This window comes from Homo sapiens, chromosome 1, assembly GCF_000001405.40.
Source record: "Homo sapiens chromosome 1, GRCh38.p14 Primary Assembly".
NCBI lineage: Eukaryota > Metazoa > Chordata > Mammalia > Primates > Hominidae > Homo > Homo sapiens.
This window is the reverse complement of record NC_000001.11, coordinates 54,866,304-54,886,531: the sequence shown is the minus strand read 5'-3', so window position 1 is coordinate 54,886,531 and position 20,228 is coordinate 54,866,304. Positions and strand designations below refer to the sequence as shown.

The following is a 20,228-nucleotide window of genomic DNA, read 5'->3' as shown; positions in this document are numbered from 1 at the left end:
TGATTGGGGGAAGGTGTGTGGGTGGAGGGACTGGTGTGAGCAAATGCTGGGAAGCCGACAAGTGCAGGGCAGGGGCGGGAGAACGTCGGAAAAGTCCGTTTGGTGCTAGGCTGGAGAGGGGCCTTGATGCCAAGGCCGAGTTTGGACTTTATTTTGTACAGCAAGACGCTTTTGATTGGGTTTAGGATAGAAGACTAAAGCAAGAAGGTAGAACCCAGCCCAGAAGCGGGAGGGAAGAACCTCACAGCCTCTGCTGACGGAGGGCTCACTCCTTGACAAAGGCAGTCGGTCCATCTCTCAGTTCCTCAGGCACCCACGGAGCCTGTGACCTGCTGTGGCTCACAGTGGAGCCTCCTCTGCATCCAGGGACTTGGGCAGTTTCTTGACTCCCTCTGCTTCTCTTTATGTTCCTCTCTTGTTGGCATCAGGTTGCAGAGAGCTTCTGTTTCCTGCTGCCACCCTTCCGTAGGTGTAGCAGCCTCCATATTCTGCTTGCTCCGCGCTGGGTGCTTCAGGCAAGAGCATGAAGATGGATGCGGAGAGACGTTCCCATGAGGCATAAGACCTGGGGCCTGGTGGGAGAACGCAGTGTCTGGAAGTGCTTTGCCCTGTAGCTCTGGATTTTGCTGGTCACAGTCATGGCTCCAGAGCCTCTGCGTGTCCTCCCTCCCCACCTGCACCCTGTTTCCTAGCTCTTTTCTCGAGTTCAAATTCTCCATTTACCTGCTTGTCTCCCCTGTCAGACTGTGAGCTCCTAGAATGCAGGGACTGTTATGTGACTCGCCTGTGGCCCATAGGGCCTGGCTCAAAACAGCCTAGCGAGTGCCTATTAATCTTGGCTAAGCCACAAGATTCACTGTGAGCAGGAAAACAGGGGCCCAGCTGGACTAGCCTCTACCCCAGACCTGCCATGTGCCATTGCCATCCTCACAGCAACCCTGGTAGATCTTGTGCCTATCTTACAAACAGGGAAAATTGAGTTTCAGAGTGTGAGTCATGTGCTCAGGAAGACTAGTCAGTAAATGGGGCTAGAACCTAGGTTAGCTCGATTTCAGAGCCTGAACTCTGACATTTCTTCTTTCCCAGGCTTTCCCTTCCCCCCTATAGGTCTGGTTCAGTTGCCTCACACCTGGCTTGTAATAGCTGTCTGACCTAGTTGCCCTTTTTTCTGGGCTCTCTGTTTGGCCTCCAGCTTCAGTGCAGCACCCCTAATCACTCCCTCCCATCTCTGGGCTTGTGTCAAACTCCGTGGCTGCAGATTCAGGCAGGGACGAGACCTGGTTGGTCGTGGAATCCTACCTATCATCCCTTTTCCCCCAAATCACAGGAATCTCTTCCTTAATACCTGCCCTGGCCTCTGATCAAAGAAAAGTCCTTCCCCGTGTTGAGCTGTTTGCCTAGCCAGCTCCAGTGCAGCCTTCTCCAGGAGACCTGACCAGTATTTGACCAGACTTTTGGTTGCAAGTGAAAGAAGCTCAATTCAAACTGACTTGAGCAAAAAGGGATTTTATTGGCTCAGGTCCTGAAAAGTCTGGGAGTACAACTGGATCAGGCATGGCTGGATCCAGGATCCTCTGTCCCCCATCTCCATCTGTCCATCCCTCTGCCATCTGTTGGCCCTGCTTTTCTAGGTTGACTTCATTCTCTGGAGCCTCTCTCCCTGCAGAGGCCCCAACAGTTTCTGGCTCATATCCAACCGGCTTAGCGACCCCAGTAAAGAGAGAGTGGCTGTCCTGGAACTGGTCTCATTGGCTTGACTTAATGAGATGTCATTAATCTGTCTCTGGCCAGAAGTATAGAATCAGTCCTCAGTCATGTACCCACCTCCTGGGGTAGGGGAGTAGAATCAGTCTCACTTGGACCAAAGGAAGATGGGGATTGTTAGAAGTGGATGAAGAGGAAATGGATGGTCACAGGTCAAAATGACAAATATCCACCCCCCCTGCACTTGTCTATCTCAGCAGAAAAGAAACACTTCCTCCTGCATTTCTGATGGGCTTGTCATCCATGGGCCATTTGTTCTGTGTTTTGTGCTCTGGTCACTTACCTTAGAGGTTTTGTAAAACCTCTTCCTTCCATTGGCTTGGTGGTCCTTCCCTGCTCCTCCTCTTCCCCTCAAAGTGATGCATGAGTTAACATATACAAATGTTTAAACAGGCCTTGGCATGTGATAAGCCTCCATACGTGTTAGCTATTACCCTGTGAACTGTTACCACAACTCCATCTATCTTTCCTGTCCTGAAGTCAAACAGTCCTGGCTATGAATCTCAGCTCTGCCATTTACCAATTGTGTGACTTTGGACAAGTTATTTTGCTTTTGAGTTTCCTTATCCTCGAAAAAAGGGTGTCATCGTAACTTCCTGGGACTGTTGTAGGAATTACACAAGACAGTGTGCAGTAGATGCCTAGTGTGTTGGGAATACCCAGTAAATGGTCCTCATTTTTATACTTGCTATTATCACCATTACAAAACCTTTTCTGAACTTCCCAGCTAGAGTTAATGTTTTCAGAACACTTCGATCCTCTCTTCTAGCTCTTTCATCATTCTGCCTTGTGGTGTAGCAATATGTTGGCTTTTCTGTCAGCCTTGCTGGCCAGGGAGGTGCCAGAGGGTAGGGCCAGCAGGCCTTTTCATTGTTCTGTTTCTCCAGTGCCTGATGGAGGCATCATTCCCAGCTCGCCCTTGAAGAAAGCAGGGCTGCAGGCTGCTCTGGGGATTCCCAGTGGGGCCAGCTCACCCTCTGTCCTGTGGTTGCAGGTGCGGGAATGGAAGGAGCAGGGTAGCAAGACCTTCATGTGCACGGGGCGCCCTGGCTGGCTCACTGTCTCACTACGTGTCGGGAAGTACAAGAAGACACACAAAAACATCATGATCAACCTGATGGACATTCTGGAAGTGGACACCAAGAAACAGGTGAGAGTAGCACTTTTCCGGGCTCTGGGAGCAGGTGGGGCACTGCCCCTGGTGCAAGTGACTCATAGGGAGATGATTTTAGCCAAGGGCATTGCAGAGTGGACAGGACCAATGCCCACAGTCATAGAAGATACTCCCTGCCATTGCTGTCCTCAAGCCTCACAGCCACCAGGGGAGAGATGGGTCATAATAGGTCAGGGGAACCCTTTGCGTTTCCACAGGAAGTCAGGAATGGGGAATTCGTGAGCAAAAATGAGAGGCAAAAAGGAATCTACTTACCCCTTCCTGATAAGGAAGTGTGCTGGTAAAAAATGGGCTACAGAAGTGACTGAGAGACATGGGTCTTGTTACAAGCTTCCTGGAAACCCTCTTGTTTAATAGCCTTCGAAATGTACATACTTTTTGGCCCATCTAGTAATTTTACTTCTCGAAACCTGGCTTAAGGAAAAAGGAAATAGGCTTCAGTATAAAGATACCCAACACAGAGTGATTATATCACAGCTTTATTTCTAATTGACAACAACACAATATCCAATAATAGGGTAGTCATTAAATATGGTATGTCTACTTGATGGCATTTTGTTATTATTGTGAGACCTTGGCCAAGTTACTTAATCTCTCTGTGCCATTTTTTTTAATAGCTTTATTGACGTATTTAAAGTGTGGTAAAACTCTTACCACAATCAAGACAACAAACATACCCATCACACCCCAAAATCTCCTCATGCTCCTTGGTAATCCCTTCCTCTAGCCCCTAGCCCTGCCTCTTCCCCTACCCGCCCCCCACAGCCTTAGGCAAACAATGACCTTTCTGCCACTATAAATTAGTTTGATTCTAGAGTTTATATAAATGGAATCATACAGTACTTTTTGTTTGTCTAGCCTCTTTCACTCAACATCTTTATTTGGAGATTCATCCATGTTGAAAGGTGTGTCAATAGTTCATTCTCTTTCACTGCTGAGTCATATTCCCACACATATTGTGTGGATGTATCACAGCTGGTTTATCCATTCACCTACTGATGGACATTTTGGCTGGCTCCAGTTTGGGGCAATTACAAATAAAATGGAACATTTGTGAACAGTCTTTGTATGGGCACATGCCTTCCTTTCTCTTGGGCAAATATCTAGGAATGGAATGGCTAGATCATAAGGTGGGTGTACATTTAACTTTTTAAGGAAGTGCCAAATTTTTTTTCCAAGTGATTGTAGCATTTTACATTTCCACCAGCAGCGTGAGTGTTGTTCTTGTTCCACATTGTAATAGACTTGATATGGTTAGTCTTAATTTTAGCCATTCTAATAGATGTGTAGTAGTTTTTCATTGTAATTTTAATTCACATTTCCCTAGTGACTAATGATCTTTCCATGTGCATGTTTGCTATTTGTATATCTTCTTTGGTGAGGCCTGATCAAATCTTTTGCCAATTTAAAAAAATTCAGGTGGTTTTCTTATATATTCTGGAAACATCTTTTTTTTTTTTCTTTTAAACTTTTAAATTAAGTGGTACCTGTACAGGTTTGTTATATAGGTAAACGTGTGTCATGGGGTTTGTTGTACATATTATTTCATCACCCAGGTATTAAGCCTAGTACCTATTAGTTATTTTTCCTGATCCTCTCCCTTCTCCCTCCCTCCACCCTCTGATAGGACCCAGTGTCTGTTGTTCCCCTGTATGTGTCCATGTGTTCTCATCATTTAGCTCCCACTTATAAGTGAGAACATGCGGTATTTGGTTTCCTGTTCCTGCATTAGTTTGCTAAGGATAATGGCTTCCAGCTGCATCCATGTTCTTGCAAAGGAACATGGCTGCATAGTATTCCATGGTGTATACGTACCACATTTTCTTTATCCAGTCTACCACTGATGGGCATTTAAGTTGATTCCATGTCTTTGCTATTGTGAGTTGTGCTGCAGTAAACATACACATGCATGTGTCTTTATGATACAATGGTTTATATTCCTTTGGGTATATATACCCAGTAATGAGATTGCTGGGTCAAATGCTGCTTCTGTTTTTTGGTCTTTAAGGAATCACCACACTGTCTCCCACATGGTTGAACTAATTTACACTCCCACCAACAGTGTATAAATGTTCCTTTTTCTCTGCAACTTCACCAGCATCTGTTATTTTTTGACTTTTTAATAATAGCCATTCTGACTGTGTCAGATGGTATTTCATTGTGGTTTTGATTTGCATTTCTTTAATTATCAGTAATGTTGAGCTTTTTTTCATATGCTTCTTGGCCACATGCTTGTCTTTTGAAAAGTGTCTGTTCATGTCCTTTTTATATTCACTTTTTAATGGGGGTTGTTTTGTTCTTGTAAGTTTGTTTAAGTTCCTTATTGATGCTGGATATTAGACCCTGAAACAACATCCTTTATTAGATTCATGATTTGCAAATATTTTCTCACAGTCTGTGGCTTCTCTTTTGAAAACCAGAAGCTTTATTTAGTTTTTCTTTTTGAGACAGAGTTTCACTCTGTCGCCCTGGCTAGAGTGCAGTGGCACGATCTTGGTTCACTGCAGCCTCCGCCTCCCAGGTTCCGGTGATTCTCCTGCCTCAGCCTCCTGGGTAGCTGGGAGTACAGGCATGTGCCACCACACCCAGCTAATTTTTTGTATTTTTAGTAGAGACGGGGTTTCACCATGTTGGCCAGGCTGGTCTCAAACTCTTGACCTCAGGTGATCTGCCTGCCTTGGCCTCCCAAAGTGCTAGAATTACAGGCGTGAGCCACCACGCCTGGCCAAATCAGAAGTTTTAATTTTTCCCAATTTGTTAATTTCTTCTTTTATGCATTGTGGGGGTTTTGTTTGTTTGTTTGTTTGTTTGTTTATATTTTTGTTTTTTGAGACAGAGTCTAGCTCTGTGGCCCCGGCTGGAGTGCAGTGGTGCTATCTCAGTTCTCGGCAACCTCCATCTCCCGGTTTCAAGCAATTCTTGTGCCTCAGCCTCCCAAGTAGCTGGGATTACAGGTGCACACCACCACACCTGGTTAATTTTTGTATTTTTAATAGAGAGGGGGTTTCACCACATTGGTCAGGCTGGTTTCGAACTCCTGGCCTCAAATGATCCACCTACCTTGGCCTCCCAAAGTGCTGGGATTACAGGCGTGAGCCACCGCGCTTGGCCTACTTTGCATTTTGATATTTTATTTAGGAAATCTTTGCCTATCCAATGTCAGAAAGGCTTTCTCCTATATTTTATTGTAGAATTTTTATAGAAACCTTAAAGTGAAGCTCTCTGGGCCTGGAGTTTTCTTTGTAAGGAAGTTTTTAAGCACAAATTCAATTTCTTTAATAGGTACTGGGCTCTTCAGTTTATTTATTTCTTCTTGGGTTAGCTTTGGTAGTTTGTGTCTCAAAGGTATTTGTCCATTTCACTAAGTTGTATAATTTATTGACATAAAGTTGTTCACAATACTTCCTTTAGATATCTGTAGCTATGTCAGGTCTTTCGTTCTTGATACTGGTATTTTGTTTCTGTTCTCTTTTTTTCCTGAACAGTCTGGCTAAAGGCTATTGAATTTTATTGATCTTCTCAAAAGCTAGCTTTGATATCATTGATTTTTCCCTTTGTGTGTGTGTGTTGTTTTCAATTTCATTGATTTCTGCTTTGGTCTTTATTATTTCATTTCTTTTCTTACATTGGGTTTAATTTTACTCTTTTTCCAGTTTTTTAAGGTTAAAGTTTAAGTCATTGACTTAGACCTTTTTTTTCTAATATAAATGTTTAGTGCTATAAATTTTCCCCTAAGCACTGTTTTAGAGGCAGCTCACAAATTTCTATATGTTTTCTTTTTATTTCAGTTCAGAATACTTTGATTTCCCTTTTGATGTCTGCTTTGACCCATGGATTATTTAGAAGTATGTTGATTTTTTATCACTAGTTTTGAGCAATTTTATTATGATGTGCTTTGGTATAGTTTTATTCATAATTCTTGTTTGGAATTTGGCATAATTTTTCATCAAATCAGGAAATTTGGGGGCCATTATTTCTTCATCTGTTTTTCTGTCCCCTCCTTTTTCTCATCTAGTTTAGAGACAGCTAGGCCATTTCAAGTTGTTCTACAGCTCAGGTCATTGAGGCACTGTTCATTTAAAAGAAATTTTTTTCCTCTCTTTCATTTTGGTTGGTTTCTGTTGCTGTGTATTTAAGTTAACTAATCTTTTCTTCTGCGATTTCTAATTTGCTATTAGTGCCATCCATTGTATCTTTCATTTCAGACATTGTGGTTTTCATTTCCAGAAGTTTGATTTGGATTTTTTTTTTTTTTTTTTTTTTTTTTTTTTCAGATGGAGTCTTGCTCTGTCCTCCAGGTTGGACTGGGTGCAGTGGCGTGATTTCGGCTCACTGCAACCTCCACCTCCTGGGTTCCAGCGATTCTCCTGTCACAGCCTCCCGAGTAGCTGGGATTACAGATGCGCACCACCGCGCCTGGCTAATTTTTTTGTATTTTTAGTAGACGGAGTTTCGCCATGTTGGCTAGGCTGGTTTCAACTCCTGATCTCAGGTGATCTGCCTGGCTTGGCCTCCCAAAGCACTGGGATTACAGGTGTGAGGCATTGCACCTGGCCGGATCTTTTTAATATATTCTTAATGTCTCTAGTTAAATTTTCGAATATAGAGAATATAGTTATTATAAATGTTTTGATGTCCCTGTTCACTAATTCTAATATCTATGTCAGTTCTGGGTCTGTTTGATTGATTGATTTTTCTCATTATGGGTTGAATTTTTCTGCCTCTGTATGCCTGGTAAAATTCTATTGGATTCTGACATTGTGATACTCTGACATTTTACCTTTTGGGGAGCTGGGTATTTTTATGTTCCTATAAATTTTGAGTTTTGCTCTAGGAGGCAGCTAAGTTACTTGGAAATAGTTTGATCCCACTGGGTCTCAATTTTTTAGATGGGGCCAGGGAAGTATTTAATCTTGAGTTTATTATGAGGCAAGATCATTTTGAGTACTCTACACAGTGCCCTGTGAATCATCAAGTTTTCTAGTCTGGCTTGTGGGAACAGACACTATCTCCTGCCCTGTGTGAGTCCCTGGTACTATTACCTATTATCTTTTTTTTTTTTTTTTTTTTTTTTTTTTTGAGACAGAGTTTCACTCTTGTTGCCCAGGCTGGAGTACAGTGGTGCAATCTCGGGTCACTGCAACCTCCGCCTCCCGGATTCAAGTGATTCTCCTGCCTCAGCTTCCTGAGTAGCTGGGATTACAGGCACCCACCACCACGCCCAGCTAATTTTTTGTATTTTTTTTTTTTAGCAGAGGCGGGGTTTCATCATGTTGGCCAGGCTGGTCTCAAACTCCTGACCTCAGGTGGTCCACCTGCCTTGGCCTCCCAAAGTGCTGGGATTATAGGCATGAGCCACCATGCCTAGCCTATTACCTGTTGTCTTTTCTGGCAGTTTTTTCCCTGGCTTCAGCCTCAGGTAATAGCCTCATGTGTATTTACCGATTAGTACTCAGTTGAATTCCCAAGGACGCCTTTTGCATTTCTTCAGTTTTTTCTCTGTGCAACTCTCTCCTCTCCAGTACTCTGTCCTGCACACTGTATTCACCTTGGTCTTCTGGAACTCTCACCTCTTTTTTTTTTTTTTTGAGACAGAGTCTCGCCCTGTCATCCAGGCTGGAGTGCAGTGGTACAGTCTTGGCTCACTGCAACCTCCATGGGTTCAAGTGATTCTCTTGCCTCAGCCTCCTGAGTAAGTGGGATTACAGGCGCTTGCCACCACACCCAGCTAATTTTTTGTATTTTTAGCAGAGGGAGGTTTTTGCCATGTTGTCGGGCTGGTCTTGAACTCCTGACCTCAGGTGATCCACCCACCTCGGTCTCCCAAAGTGCTGAGATTACAGGCGTGAGCCACCATGCCCAGCCTCACCTCCATCTTTTTAACTCTTAGAAAGTCCACTGGACTCCACCACCTGGGTTTCCCTCCCTGCACTGCCTAACTCCAGGCAGTTAAATGGGCCATCCCTAGAGCTCACCTTTTTTTAAAATAATTTTTTATTTTTTTATTTTTAGGTCTTGCTATGTTGTCCTGGCTGGTCTCGAACCCCTGGCCTCAAGCAGTCCTCCCGCCTCAGAGCTCACCTTGTTTCCTGTCTCTGAGGGATCACTAACTTTAATTGTTTATGTCCACTGCATTGAAAACTCTTATTTCATATATTTTGTCAGGTTTTTTTTTCAGGCAGCAGGGTAAATGTGGTTCCTGTTATTCCACTTCGGCTAGAAGTAGAAGTCCAAGGGATGTATACATTAAAAATCATGTGTTCCAAGAATGTGTAATGATAAGAGATGATGGTCATAGTATAGTGTTAAATTTTAAAAAGGCAAAACAGAAAATGAGATATGCTTTTGGTTTGTGTGTGTTGTGTTTAAAACATACAAAATAGTGTGAAAGGAAAATCTTGGGGCCCCCAAATTACTAAACTAAGGGAAAAGTCAAGCTGGGAACTGCTCAGGACAAACCTGCTTCCGCATTCTATTCAAAGTCATCCCTCTGCTCACTGAGATAGATGCATATTCTGATTAGCTCCTTTGGAAAGGCTTATCAGAAACTGAAAAGAATGCAGCCATTTGTCTCTTATCTACCTGTGACCGCAAGCCCTCTCCCTGCTTCAAGTTGTCCCCGCCTTCCTGGACAGAACCACTATACTTCTTACATATATTGATTGATGTGTTCTGTCTCCCTAAAATGTGTAAGATCAAGCTGTGCACCAGCCTCCTTGGGCACATGTTGTCAGGACGTACTGAGGCTGTATCAGAGGCGCACATCCTCAATCTTGGCAAAATAAACTTTCTGGATTAACTGAGACCTGTCTCTGATATTTGCGGTTCACAGTACCAATACAGTATGTGTGGGGAAAAAAAAACCAAAGTAAATACACTGTGTTATTAACATTAGTAATTCTGAAGAACTAGGAAGGGTGAATTTTTTTTTTGTTTGTTTGAGACGGAGTCTCACTCTGTTGCCTAGGCTGGAGTGCAGTGGCACGATCTCGGCTCACTGCAACCTCCACCTCCCAGGTTCAAGTGATTCTCCTGCCTCAGCCTCCCAAGCAGCTGGGACTACAGGTGCCCGCCACCACGCCTGGCTAATTTTTGTATTTTTAGTAGAAACAGGGTTTCACCAAGTTGGCCAGGCTGGTCTCAAACTCCTGAACTCAGATGATTCACCTGCCTTGGCCTCCCAAAGTGCTGGGATTACAGACATGAGTCACCACGACCAGCCAGGATGGGTGATTTTTGTTTTCTTCTTCACTTTTGCTGTATCTTCTAAGTGAATGAGTATTTCTCCTGTAATTTAGAAAAGGTTAAGTCAAATATTTAGTATAAAGATACTTGAAGGGCGAGGTTGAACACTAGCTAACCGAGAGCCAGAAATCACATTCCCTGTAATTAAAGGCAATGTTCTAGAAAGAGCCTGTAAAGGCTATATAGGAATCCCTGCAGTGAGTGTTTGGGAAGGTTTGAGATGACACCTTCTGTGTGCAGCAGCTCCCCTTGGGCCTGGCAGCCTCCTTTTGACCCAGGGTCTCTTTTCTTGTGTCAACAGATTGTCCGTGTGGAGCCCTTGGTGACCATGGGCCAGGTGACTGCCCTGCTGACCTCCATTGGCTGGACTCTCCCCGTGTTGCCTGAGCTTGATGACCTCACAGTGGGTGAGGACCCTATATTAACGGGCAAGAAGAGACACACGGTCCTAGGACCGGAGCTGATGGGCCTTGGCCACCCTCCATCTAGTCCTGGAATTGCCGCTATTCCATCTGTGACAGAAGTCATTCAGTCTCTTACTTGCCTGCTCCAATGACAGGGTGTTCACTGCCTGCTGTTCCATTTCTGAGCAGCTCAAGTTATCAGAAGGCACTTTTAATTTCTGGTTTGAATCTGCTTCCCTGTGACTTGTTCCCATTGCTCCAATTCCCCCCCATGGAACACACAGAATAAGTATAGTCTCTCTTCTCCTCCCATAGGATTCATAGCCCCCAAAGCCTCTTCTTCTTCAGGGAAAACACCTTCAGTTCTTTTAACTATTCCCATGGGACAGGGCTTCCTGTCACCCCTTCAACCCCCCTTTTCATTAAAGTCCCTCTCAAGATGAATGCACACAGATTTCTAGGTTGAGTCTGGCCAGAGGTGAGGTGTGAGTACACTTGACAAGGTCTGCTCGCCACTCCCTTCCTCTAAGGACACCCTCATGCTCCCATCTGAGCCCCTCCTTCCCTCTCCTGCTCTCTAGATTGACAGGTGGGAAATCTCCCCTAAGTCAACAGCCCCATTTCTGCTAGCCTGCCAAACCTCCCTCATGCTAGGAGGCCCCCCAGCTCCAACCCACCCCCAACCCTGTACCCACAGCTCTCCCTGCTGACACTGTGTGTGATGTCTCTGCAGGGGGCTTGATCATGGGCACAGGCATCGAGTCATCATCCCACAAGTACGGCCTGTTCCAACACATCTGCACTGCTTACGAGCTGGTCCTGGCTGATGGCAGCTTTGTGCGATGCACTCCGGTGAGTTCAGCAATGGGAGATGTCCATGCCAGCCTGCTCTGGGCATTAAGGATCCTGAGGTCAGGGAGGTGGCTCCTCTAGGTGTGCTTCATTCCCAGTACCTGTTCAGTCTGGGTCTATATCTGTAAACAAAAATTTGTGTAGCCCCTTATATGAGCTTAGGCAATGTTGTAAATCCATTATATATATTAAGGCATGCATGTTATCCTTCAACAACCTAATGAGGGAGGTTTATTATCCCTATTTTATAGATTATTATTAAATAATAGAAGGATTATTATCCCTATTTTATAGATAGGAAACTAAAGCTCAGAGAGATTATTTGCCATAGGTCACACAGCTGGGACTCACACCCCAGTAATCAGGCTCCCAGGTCCCTTAGCCGTTCATTATGCCATCCTGCCTCTCTGGAGAGGAAGTCAGGCCTTGGCATCAAAGCTGTGTGTCTTAACACTGTGAGGTACAGTCATGTGTCACAGAACAGTAGGGATATGTTATAAGAAACAAGTTGTAGGCAATTTTGTCATTGTGCAAACATCATAAGAGTGTAATTACATAAACCTAGATGAGATAGCCTACTTCACACGTAGGCTATTTGGATAGCCTACTACTCCTTGACTACAGACCTATACAGCATGGTACTGTGCTCAATACTGTAGGCAGCTGTAACACAATGGTATTTATGTATCTAAACATACCTATACTTGGAAAAGGTACAGTAAAAATACAGTATAAAAGATGAATGGTACACCTATGTAGCGTACTTACCATGCATGGAGCTTGCAGGACTGGAAGTTGCTCTGGGTGAGTCAGTGAGTGAGTGGTGAGTGAATGTGAAGTCCTGGGACATTACTGTACACCACTGTAGACTTTATAAACACTGTACACTTAGGCTACACTAAATTTATTTTTTGAAATTTTCTTTCTTCAATAATAAATACTGTTAGCTTACTATAACATTTTTACTTTATAAACTTTTTAAAAACTTTTGACTCTTGTAATAACACTTAGCTTAAAATGCAAACACATTGTACAGGTGTACAGAAATAGTTTCCTTCTTTATATCCTTATTCTATAAGCTTGTTTCTATTTAAACTTTTTTTTTAACTTGTTAAAGTTTTTTTGTTAAAAACTTAGACACAAGGCTGGGTGCAGTGGCTCACTCCTGTAATACCAGCACTTTGGGAGGCCAAGGCAGGTGGACTGCTTGAGCTTAGCAGTTTGAGACCAGCCTGGGCAACATGGCCTACAACATGGTCTACAAACAATACAAAAATTAGCTGGGCATGGTGATGTGTTCCTGTATTTCCAGCTACTGTGGAGGCTGCAGCAGGAGGATCACTTGAGCCTGGGAGGCAGAGATTGCAGTGAGCCGTGATTACGCCACTGCACTCTAGCCTGGGTGACAGAGCAAGACCCTGTCTCAAAGAAAAAAGGTCAAGACATAAACGCATGTTAGTTTAGGCCTACACAGAGTCAAGATTATCAATAACGCTTCCACTTCCGCATCTTGTCCCACTGGAAAGTCTTCAGGGGCAATAACACACATGGAGCTGTCATCTCTGACAACAATGCCTTCTTCTGGAATACCTCCTGAAGGACCTGCCTGATGCTGTTTACAGTTAACTTTTTTTTAATAAGCAGAAAGAGTACACTCTAAAATAACAATTAAAAGTGTAGTGTAGTGAATACATAAACCAATGACAGAGTCATTTATCATTATCAAGTATTATGTAGTGTACATAATTATATGTGCTATACTTTTATACAACTGGCAGTACAGTAGGTTTGCTTACACCAGTGTTACCATAAACACATGAGTATGACATTAGGATAGCTGTGATAGCAGTGATACCACTAGGCAACAGGACTTTTTCAGCTCCATTATAATCTTATGAGACCACCATTTTATCTGTGGCCCATTGTTGACTGCAACGTCTTTATGTAGCACGTAATCGTGTAAGTAAAAGTGATTAGAGAGGATGTTTTAGAAAAATAAGAAACACTTCTACCACCCAAACTGGGATTCAAACATTTAAAGCGTTTTACCTAAGGGGTGGGATAGGAGTGACACTTTAAATAACCTTGGATCTGTCCTGGCAGGTGTGAGGGACCCCTGGGATGGGAGGGACAGTTGGTCCTGTTGAAGTGGGTATTTCAGGGAGCCACCCGACTCCTTCACTTCACAGAAGAGGGCCCAAGGAAAGACTCCCAGCTTGGCAGCACTGGTCTTGGATGAGAGATACCCCTAGCAAGATTCACATCAATTCATCCTGCTTTCCTGAACGCTTGCGGGGCCCTGTCTTTTGACCTATTTATTATCGGCAGAGAAAGGAGACTGACATTTGTGAATTCTTTCCCTTCTCTGAGGCCCAGGTTCCTCACTGACAAATATGTGGTTGAGAGGAATAAGTAGGTCCTGTATGGGAAGCTCCTTGCATAGAGCTCAGCATGCAGCAAGTGTGTCATCTTCACTGCCATGGCCAGGAGAATGTGATTAGCTGTGGGCCCAAGGGGGAATTGGTGAGCGTAGTGCTGCTGTTCCTGAGGTTTCTGCCAGCCTGCTGCAGAGCCTCCTTGCTCCAGCTCTCCTGCCCTGCTGCATTCACTGTGCCCACCACCAAGAGCATTCAGGTTTTGTGGAGACTGCACAGGGCTGTCCTCTTAGTAAAGGCAAGACATGGCTGGACTTTTTCAAAAGAGCTTTCTTTACTAGAACTGAAGAATCCCAATCAGAATGGCCAAGGAAAAGTCAGTTGTCTGTGTCCAAGACAAATGTCAAAACAATAAAATGATGAGGTTGGACATTGATTTATGGAAGCAGATGAGGTGTTGTAGGAAAAACGCTGGCCGGGGAGTTAGGTGGTCTTGCCTGAGCCCTGGCATTGCTGCAGCTGACTTTTCTGGGAAGACTTTGGTGAGTCATGGCAGCTCTGAGAGACTCAGTTTCTTTACTTGTCATAAGGGGGTGCTAGCGCTCTCCCTGGGCTCTGTCGGGGGTGGATCCCACAAGCCGATGGACTGGGAAAGGCCTTGTAAATTTTAGTAATGGTTCAGAAGGGAGGCATTTTAATGTTCCCCAGCTACACTGCCTGACACCCACTAAAGGGTGTCAAGGCCTGGCCTTGGACTCCTGCCCTTGTGCAATGCCCCTGCCATTGTGGGTCGTTGGGCAGCAGTGCCAGTCCCAGCTTTTTCCTGAATAGCCTCTGGGTCAGGGGCTGTACCTAGATGGGAGAAGGAGGATGCTCTCTCAGTGAGGGTCCCTGAGACAGAGGGCAGTATTAGGTTCCATGTCATGTCGAAGCTGCAGGGAGGAAACTAAAGCCCAGCAAGCACAGTTTGTAAAGCTCATTGTTTGGGTTTATACAAGAGAGTGAGAGAATAGGGACTCTCCCAGGCTTTGCTCCCCCACTGACTGCATGCCACAATGTGGGGCCCAAGGTTTCAGCTCACAACACATCAATTCTGTCTCACAGTCCGAAAACTCAGACCTGTTCTATGCCGTACCCTGGTCCTGTGGGACGCTGGGTTTCCTGGTGGCCGCTGAGATCCGCATCATCCCTGCCAAGAAGTACGTCAAGCTGCGTTTCGAGCCAGTGCGGGGCCTGGAGGCTATCTGTGCCAAGTTCACCCACGAGTCCCAGCGGCAGGAGAACCACTTCGTGGAAGGGCTGCTCTACTCCCTGGATGAGGCTGTCATTATGACAGGGGTCATGACAGATGAGGCAGAGCCCAGCAAGGTAAGCCAGGGTGTCAGCTGCTGCTGACCAAGACTGGGGAGGCATGAGTGTGCTAGGACTGAGCCGGTTCCCGTATCCTGACCCTGGCAGCCACCTCTTCAAGGCTGCTGCCTGGGTCAACCCACCTGGGGTACAGGCAACAGGATCTATCATCAGAAATGTATTAGACAGTGATGGAAGCTTTCATCTACTCTGCCCCTACCACCTGCCTGGGATGTGCTTGTCTCTTAGTGGATGTAATCTTTGGTCCTTATAGCAAACCCATTTTATAGATGAGGAAACTGAGTCTTCAAGAGGTAATGTAGGCTGGGCACAGTGGCTCACACCTGTAATCCCAACACTTAAAAGAGGTAATGTAAACTTCCACAAGATTCGAGTAATCGATTTGATGCCTTGGAATCTAGATTGACATTCCTTCCACATATACCATGCAATTTTTATTAGCAGTTTTTTCTCCATTTAGAAAGGATTTGTGCTTATTGTAAGAGACTTGGAAAGGATTTGTGCTTATTGTAAGAGACTTGGAAGGTACAAACAAGTAAAAAGGAAAGAAAAGACTCCACCTGTAAATATGTCCCAAAGCCAGTGTTGCTAATGTGTTTGGTACACAGTTGGCCCCTTGTATCTGTGGGTTCCACAACAGTGGATTCAACCAACTGCAGATTGAAAGCGTTCAGGGGCCAAAAAACGGATGGTTTCATCTGAAATGAACATGGACAGACTTTTTTTCTTGTCATTATTCCTTAACTGTTACATAGCATTTACATTGTATTAAGTATTGTGAGAAATCTAGAGATGATTTAAAGTATACAGGAGGATGTGCATAGGGTTATATGCAAATACTAAATCATTTTATGTAAGGGACTTGAGCATTCATGGATTTTGGGGGATCCTGGAACAAATCCCCCATGGATACTGAGAGACAACTGTATTTATTTCCTCTTTCTCTGTATGGATTTTTTTGAAAGTTTTTAAATTATAAAAGTAATGTAACAATGCTGAAATATATAAAGAAAAAGTTAAAGTGCATCTCTTTACGCCAGGGTGTAACCACTTACGTATAACAGTTTTGTGTGCATTCTTCGAGACCTATTTATTTTTATTTATTTATTTTCTTATTGTTTTTTTTTTTGAGACAGGGTCTCTGTAGCCCAGACTGGAGTACAGTGGTACGATCACAGCTCACTGTAGCCTTGAACTCCAGGGCTCAAGCAATCCTCCTGCCTTAGCCTCCTAAGTAGCTGGGACTACAGGCGTGTGCCACCATGTCCAGTTAAAAATTTTTTTTTTTTTTTTGAGATGGAGTCTCACTCCGTCGCTCAGGCTGGAGTGCAGCGCGTGATCTCAGCTCACTGCAACCTCTGTCTCCCAGGTTCACACGATTCTCATGCCTCAGCCTCGTAAGTAGCTGGGATTACAGGCATGCACCACCATGCCTGCCTAATTTTTGTATTTTTAGTAGAAATGGAGTTCACCGTGTTGGCTAGGCTGGTCTCGAACTCCTGACCTCAGGTGATCTGCCTGCCTTGGCCTCCCAAGCCAAGTGCTGGGATTACAGGTGCGAGCCACTGTGCCCGGCCTGGTTAATTTTTTAATTTTTAAAATTTTTTTGTAGGGATGGGGTCTTGCTATGTTGCCAAGGCTAGTCTTGAACTCCTGGCCTCAAGCAGTCTTCCCACCTCAGCCTCCCAAAGTACTGGGATTACAGGTGTGAGCCACCACACCCAGCCGAGACCTATTTCTCTGTGTGTGTGTGTGTGTATATGTATGTGTGCATGTCTTCATTTCATTCTGTAATATCCCATTTTTGCATGTAAATAATTGGCCTAATTTAGCCCTTACTGACATTTATGTTGCATAAACTGTTTTGCTCTTACAAATAAGATTGCATTGAAGATTTAAGACTCACATTTATCCTGTCCTTCTGTACAAATATTTGTGTAGGATTGAGTCAGAAAAATGGACTTTGTTACACAAAGGTTTGAGCACATTAAATATTAATAGATATGACCAAACAGCCCTCGAGAAGAGCTGTGTTTATGCCTACTTGTAGTAATGGTCTGTGAGAACACCTTTTTCCCTACATTCTTGCCAACACTAAATAGGATCACTCTTTCATTTTTGCCAATCTGATAGCGTTAAAAATAGTATCTCGTTTTATTTTGCAGTTCTTGGATCACTTGTGAGGGTGAGCCTCTCTTTGCAGCATTTTGCAGTTTGTTTGTCTTCAGCAGTGATCACTTGGTTCACATTTGTCTTTTCTTGTTTATTGTTTTTTGTTTTGAGACAAGGTCTCACTCTGTCACCCAGACTGGAGTGCAATGGTGCGATCTTGGCTCACTGCAACCTCCACCTCCCAGGCTCAAGCAATTCTCCTGTCTCAGCCTCCCGAGTAGCTGGGAATACAGGCGCATGCCACTGCACCTGGCTGATTTTGGTATTTTTAGTAGAGACGGGGTTTCGCCATGTTGCCCAGGTTGGTCTTGAACTTCTGAGCTCAGGTGATCGCCTGCCTCGGCCTCCCAAAATGCTGGGATTACAGGCGTGACCCACTGCACCCAGCCTTTTTCTTGTTTATTGTGATAAGCATTTCCCCCTGTTGTTACATTGCCTTCATAACCGTCATTGTTAATATCCATCTTTTATTAGAACTATTACATTGCCTTCATAACCATCACTGTTAATGTCCATTCTTATTAGAATTAAAGAATCCCAATTAGAATGGCCAACCTTGCATTGCACCTTGCACTGAGGAAATGAATGCCCTATTGCTGCCCATAGTTGGAAATTTAAGTTGCTTCCAATTTTTTTATTACTTTAATTAATGGAGCAATGAACATCTTTTGTCTGTAATTTGAGTAATATCTTTTGTTTTTTTTTGAGACAGAGTCTCGCTCTGTCACCCAGGCTGGAGTGCAGTGGCGGGATCTCGGCTCACTGCAAGCTCCACCTCCCAGGTTCACGCCATTCTCCTGCCTCAGCCTCCCAAGTAGCTGGGACTACAGGCGCCCACCACCACGCCCGGCTAATTTTTTGTATTTTTAGTAGAGATGGGGTTTCACTGTGTTAGCCAGGATTGTCTCGATCTCCTGACCTCGTGATCCACCCACCTCGGCCTCCCAAAGTGTTGGGATTACGGGCGTGAGCCACTGCGCCCGGCCAATTGGAGTAATATCTTAACATAAAATCGCAGATCAAAGGATAGGCATCCCTTAAGACTCTTAATCTATACCTATATACATACTTAAAACATTTTAAAGTTGTGAAGGGCTATAAAATCATCCGGTACAATCCTCTCTACAAATAAGGAAATGAGGCCCAGAAAGGGAAAGAGACTTCTCTGAAGACACACAGCTAGCACAGAACAGATTTAAATTCCAGCTTCTGACTCCTGGTTCAGTGTCGGTTCCCTGACATATCAGCCTGCAGACTTTAGCACTATGCAAACATTGCTCCCTGTGGGACACTGCGGTAAGTGCTGGAGGTCCTGGAACAGCGGTGGCAATACCGGACATTGAGCTGAAGTGCTCTGGCCCTCCTGGGCCCCTGGATCTGCCTGAGGCCAAAGCTCAGACAGTGTGTGTCACCTAGCACCAAGTCACCTAGCAAGGACATCTAGACCAGAGCTTTCCAGCTGCTCTGAGGTGTTCCCTTGAGGCTCTCAGGGGTAGGAAAGCTGAGGAGGGATGGGACCAAGGGGAGTCACCACCCCCACTGTACCCAAAGTGGCTCTGCTGCCATCCATTTGATGTATTAGATGCTCCCTAAGATTATGATTTGGCAGAGGGGTTTGCCCAGCTTTTGAAATATTTGGAGACCTGATCTGATTCCCTTATTTCCCAAGGAGAAGACTGTGAGGCACAGAGAGCCTTACCCAAAGGCCCTCCCAGAATCAGCAGCAGAGGGATATTTGCCAAGTGCCCCAGTGAGCAAGACCCTGATACCTGAGGGAACAGGGCTGGGGCAGAGTGGTGGATGCCATTAGACATCTGGGCATTTCATTTTAGAAGCATTGCTTCCAAACATTTCTGTTTCTAAGCATTCAGGAATTTGTCCCTGTGTGCCAGGCCCTGTGATGGGCCCTCTGCAGGCACTGCCCCGTGTAAACATTGCTGCAATCCTGTGAGAAGCAGCCTACCCCCATTTCACAGAGGAGGCCCAGAGATAGGAAGTGGCTTGCAGTCAAGGGCTGGGGTGGACTGGAGCTCATGCAGCCACCTGGCCTCCTCAGCTGGTGTGTGCCTGGAAAAGACAGACTATCTGGGTTCTTTCCCATGTCCTGGGCTTCTCTGCATGGCTCCTGATGCATCAGTGAGCACCAGGAGCGCCTGTATCCAGGTGGCCCTAAGTCTCACTTTCATTATGCAGCTGCTGCCACTGCCAGGTATGTGACACACCTCACCTGGGGTTAGATCAGGTTGCTCTGTTTCCTGCTGGGTTCCCCTGTTCACATTAGCAGGCAGAGGCCAGCGTGAGTGTTTTTTGCGCTGCCCCATACCATCCACACCAAAACTAATTTGGGCAAAGAGGCTCTTTAGCCCCAGTTTCCTCCCTGCAGAGTGGCCTCACCAGCAGGGTGGCCTTACCAGCAGGGTGGGCCTGCACAAGCGGGTGGCACACAGATAAGCTGCAAGTGCTGGAGGCCAGAGATCCACGGCAAAGGGTTGCCTGGCTGTAGGGTAGAGCAGGTCAACAAGGGAATGGGTGGGGACTGATACTTCAGCCACCTGTGGACCAGGCACCGTGCTTGGCACTTTCTACATCATCTCTTTTAGTCTTCCAGAAATGCTAAGTAACCTGCCTAGGCTCTGCTAAGTGTGTTGTAAATGGAAAAAGCAAATTGGCAAACAGTACGTGTAAGATGGTCCCATTTTTCAGGAGGCTGAGGCAGGAGAATGGCGTGAACCAGGGAGGTGGAGCTTGCAGTGAGCCAAGATCGTGCCACTGAACTCCAGCCTGGGCGACAGAGCGAGACTCTGTCTCAAAAAAAAAAAAAAGATGGTCCTATTTTTTAAAAACAGTGGGCATATGTATGTAATTTCTAAT

General features: G+C 45.0%; 1 protein-coding gene across 1 annotated transcript in view, besides 1 other annotated feature; it reads left to right on the top strand.

The window, feature by feature from the left end:
* The window catches only part of DHCR24 (24-dehydrocholesterol reductase), a 37,569-nt gene that overhangs the window by 664 nt on the left and 16,677 nt on the right, over positions 1-20,228 (top strand). Inside the window, exons 2-5 of the mRNA NM_014762.4 lie at positions 2,759-2,914; positions 10,485-10,590; positions 11,321-11,439; positions 14,919-15,182. Of these exons, the coding sequence (NP_055577.1) occupies positions 2,759-2,914; positions 10,485-10,590; positions 11,321-11,439; positions 14,919-15,182 (645 nt within the window). The remainder of the gene's footprint in view (positions 1-2,758; positions 2,915-10,484; positions 10,591-11,320; positions 11,440-14,918; positions 15,183-20,228) is intronic.
* Positions 2,716-3,285: an enhancer, noted in NCBI's record as "H3K4me1 hESC enhancer chr1:55348920-55349489 (GRCh37/hg19 assembly coordinates)". NCBI's record gives its function as "activates a minimal SCP1, AML or CMV promoter by ChIP-STARR-seq in naive H9 embryonic stem cells {active_cell/tissue: H9 hESC(naive)}" and the evidence as "EXISTENCE:reporter gene assay evidence [ECO:0000049][PMID:30033119]".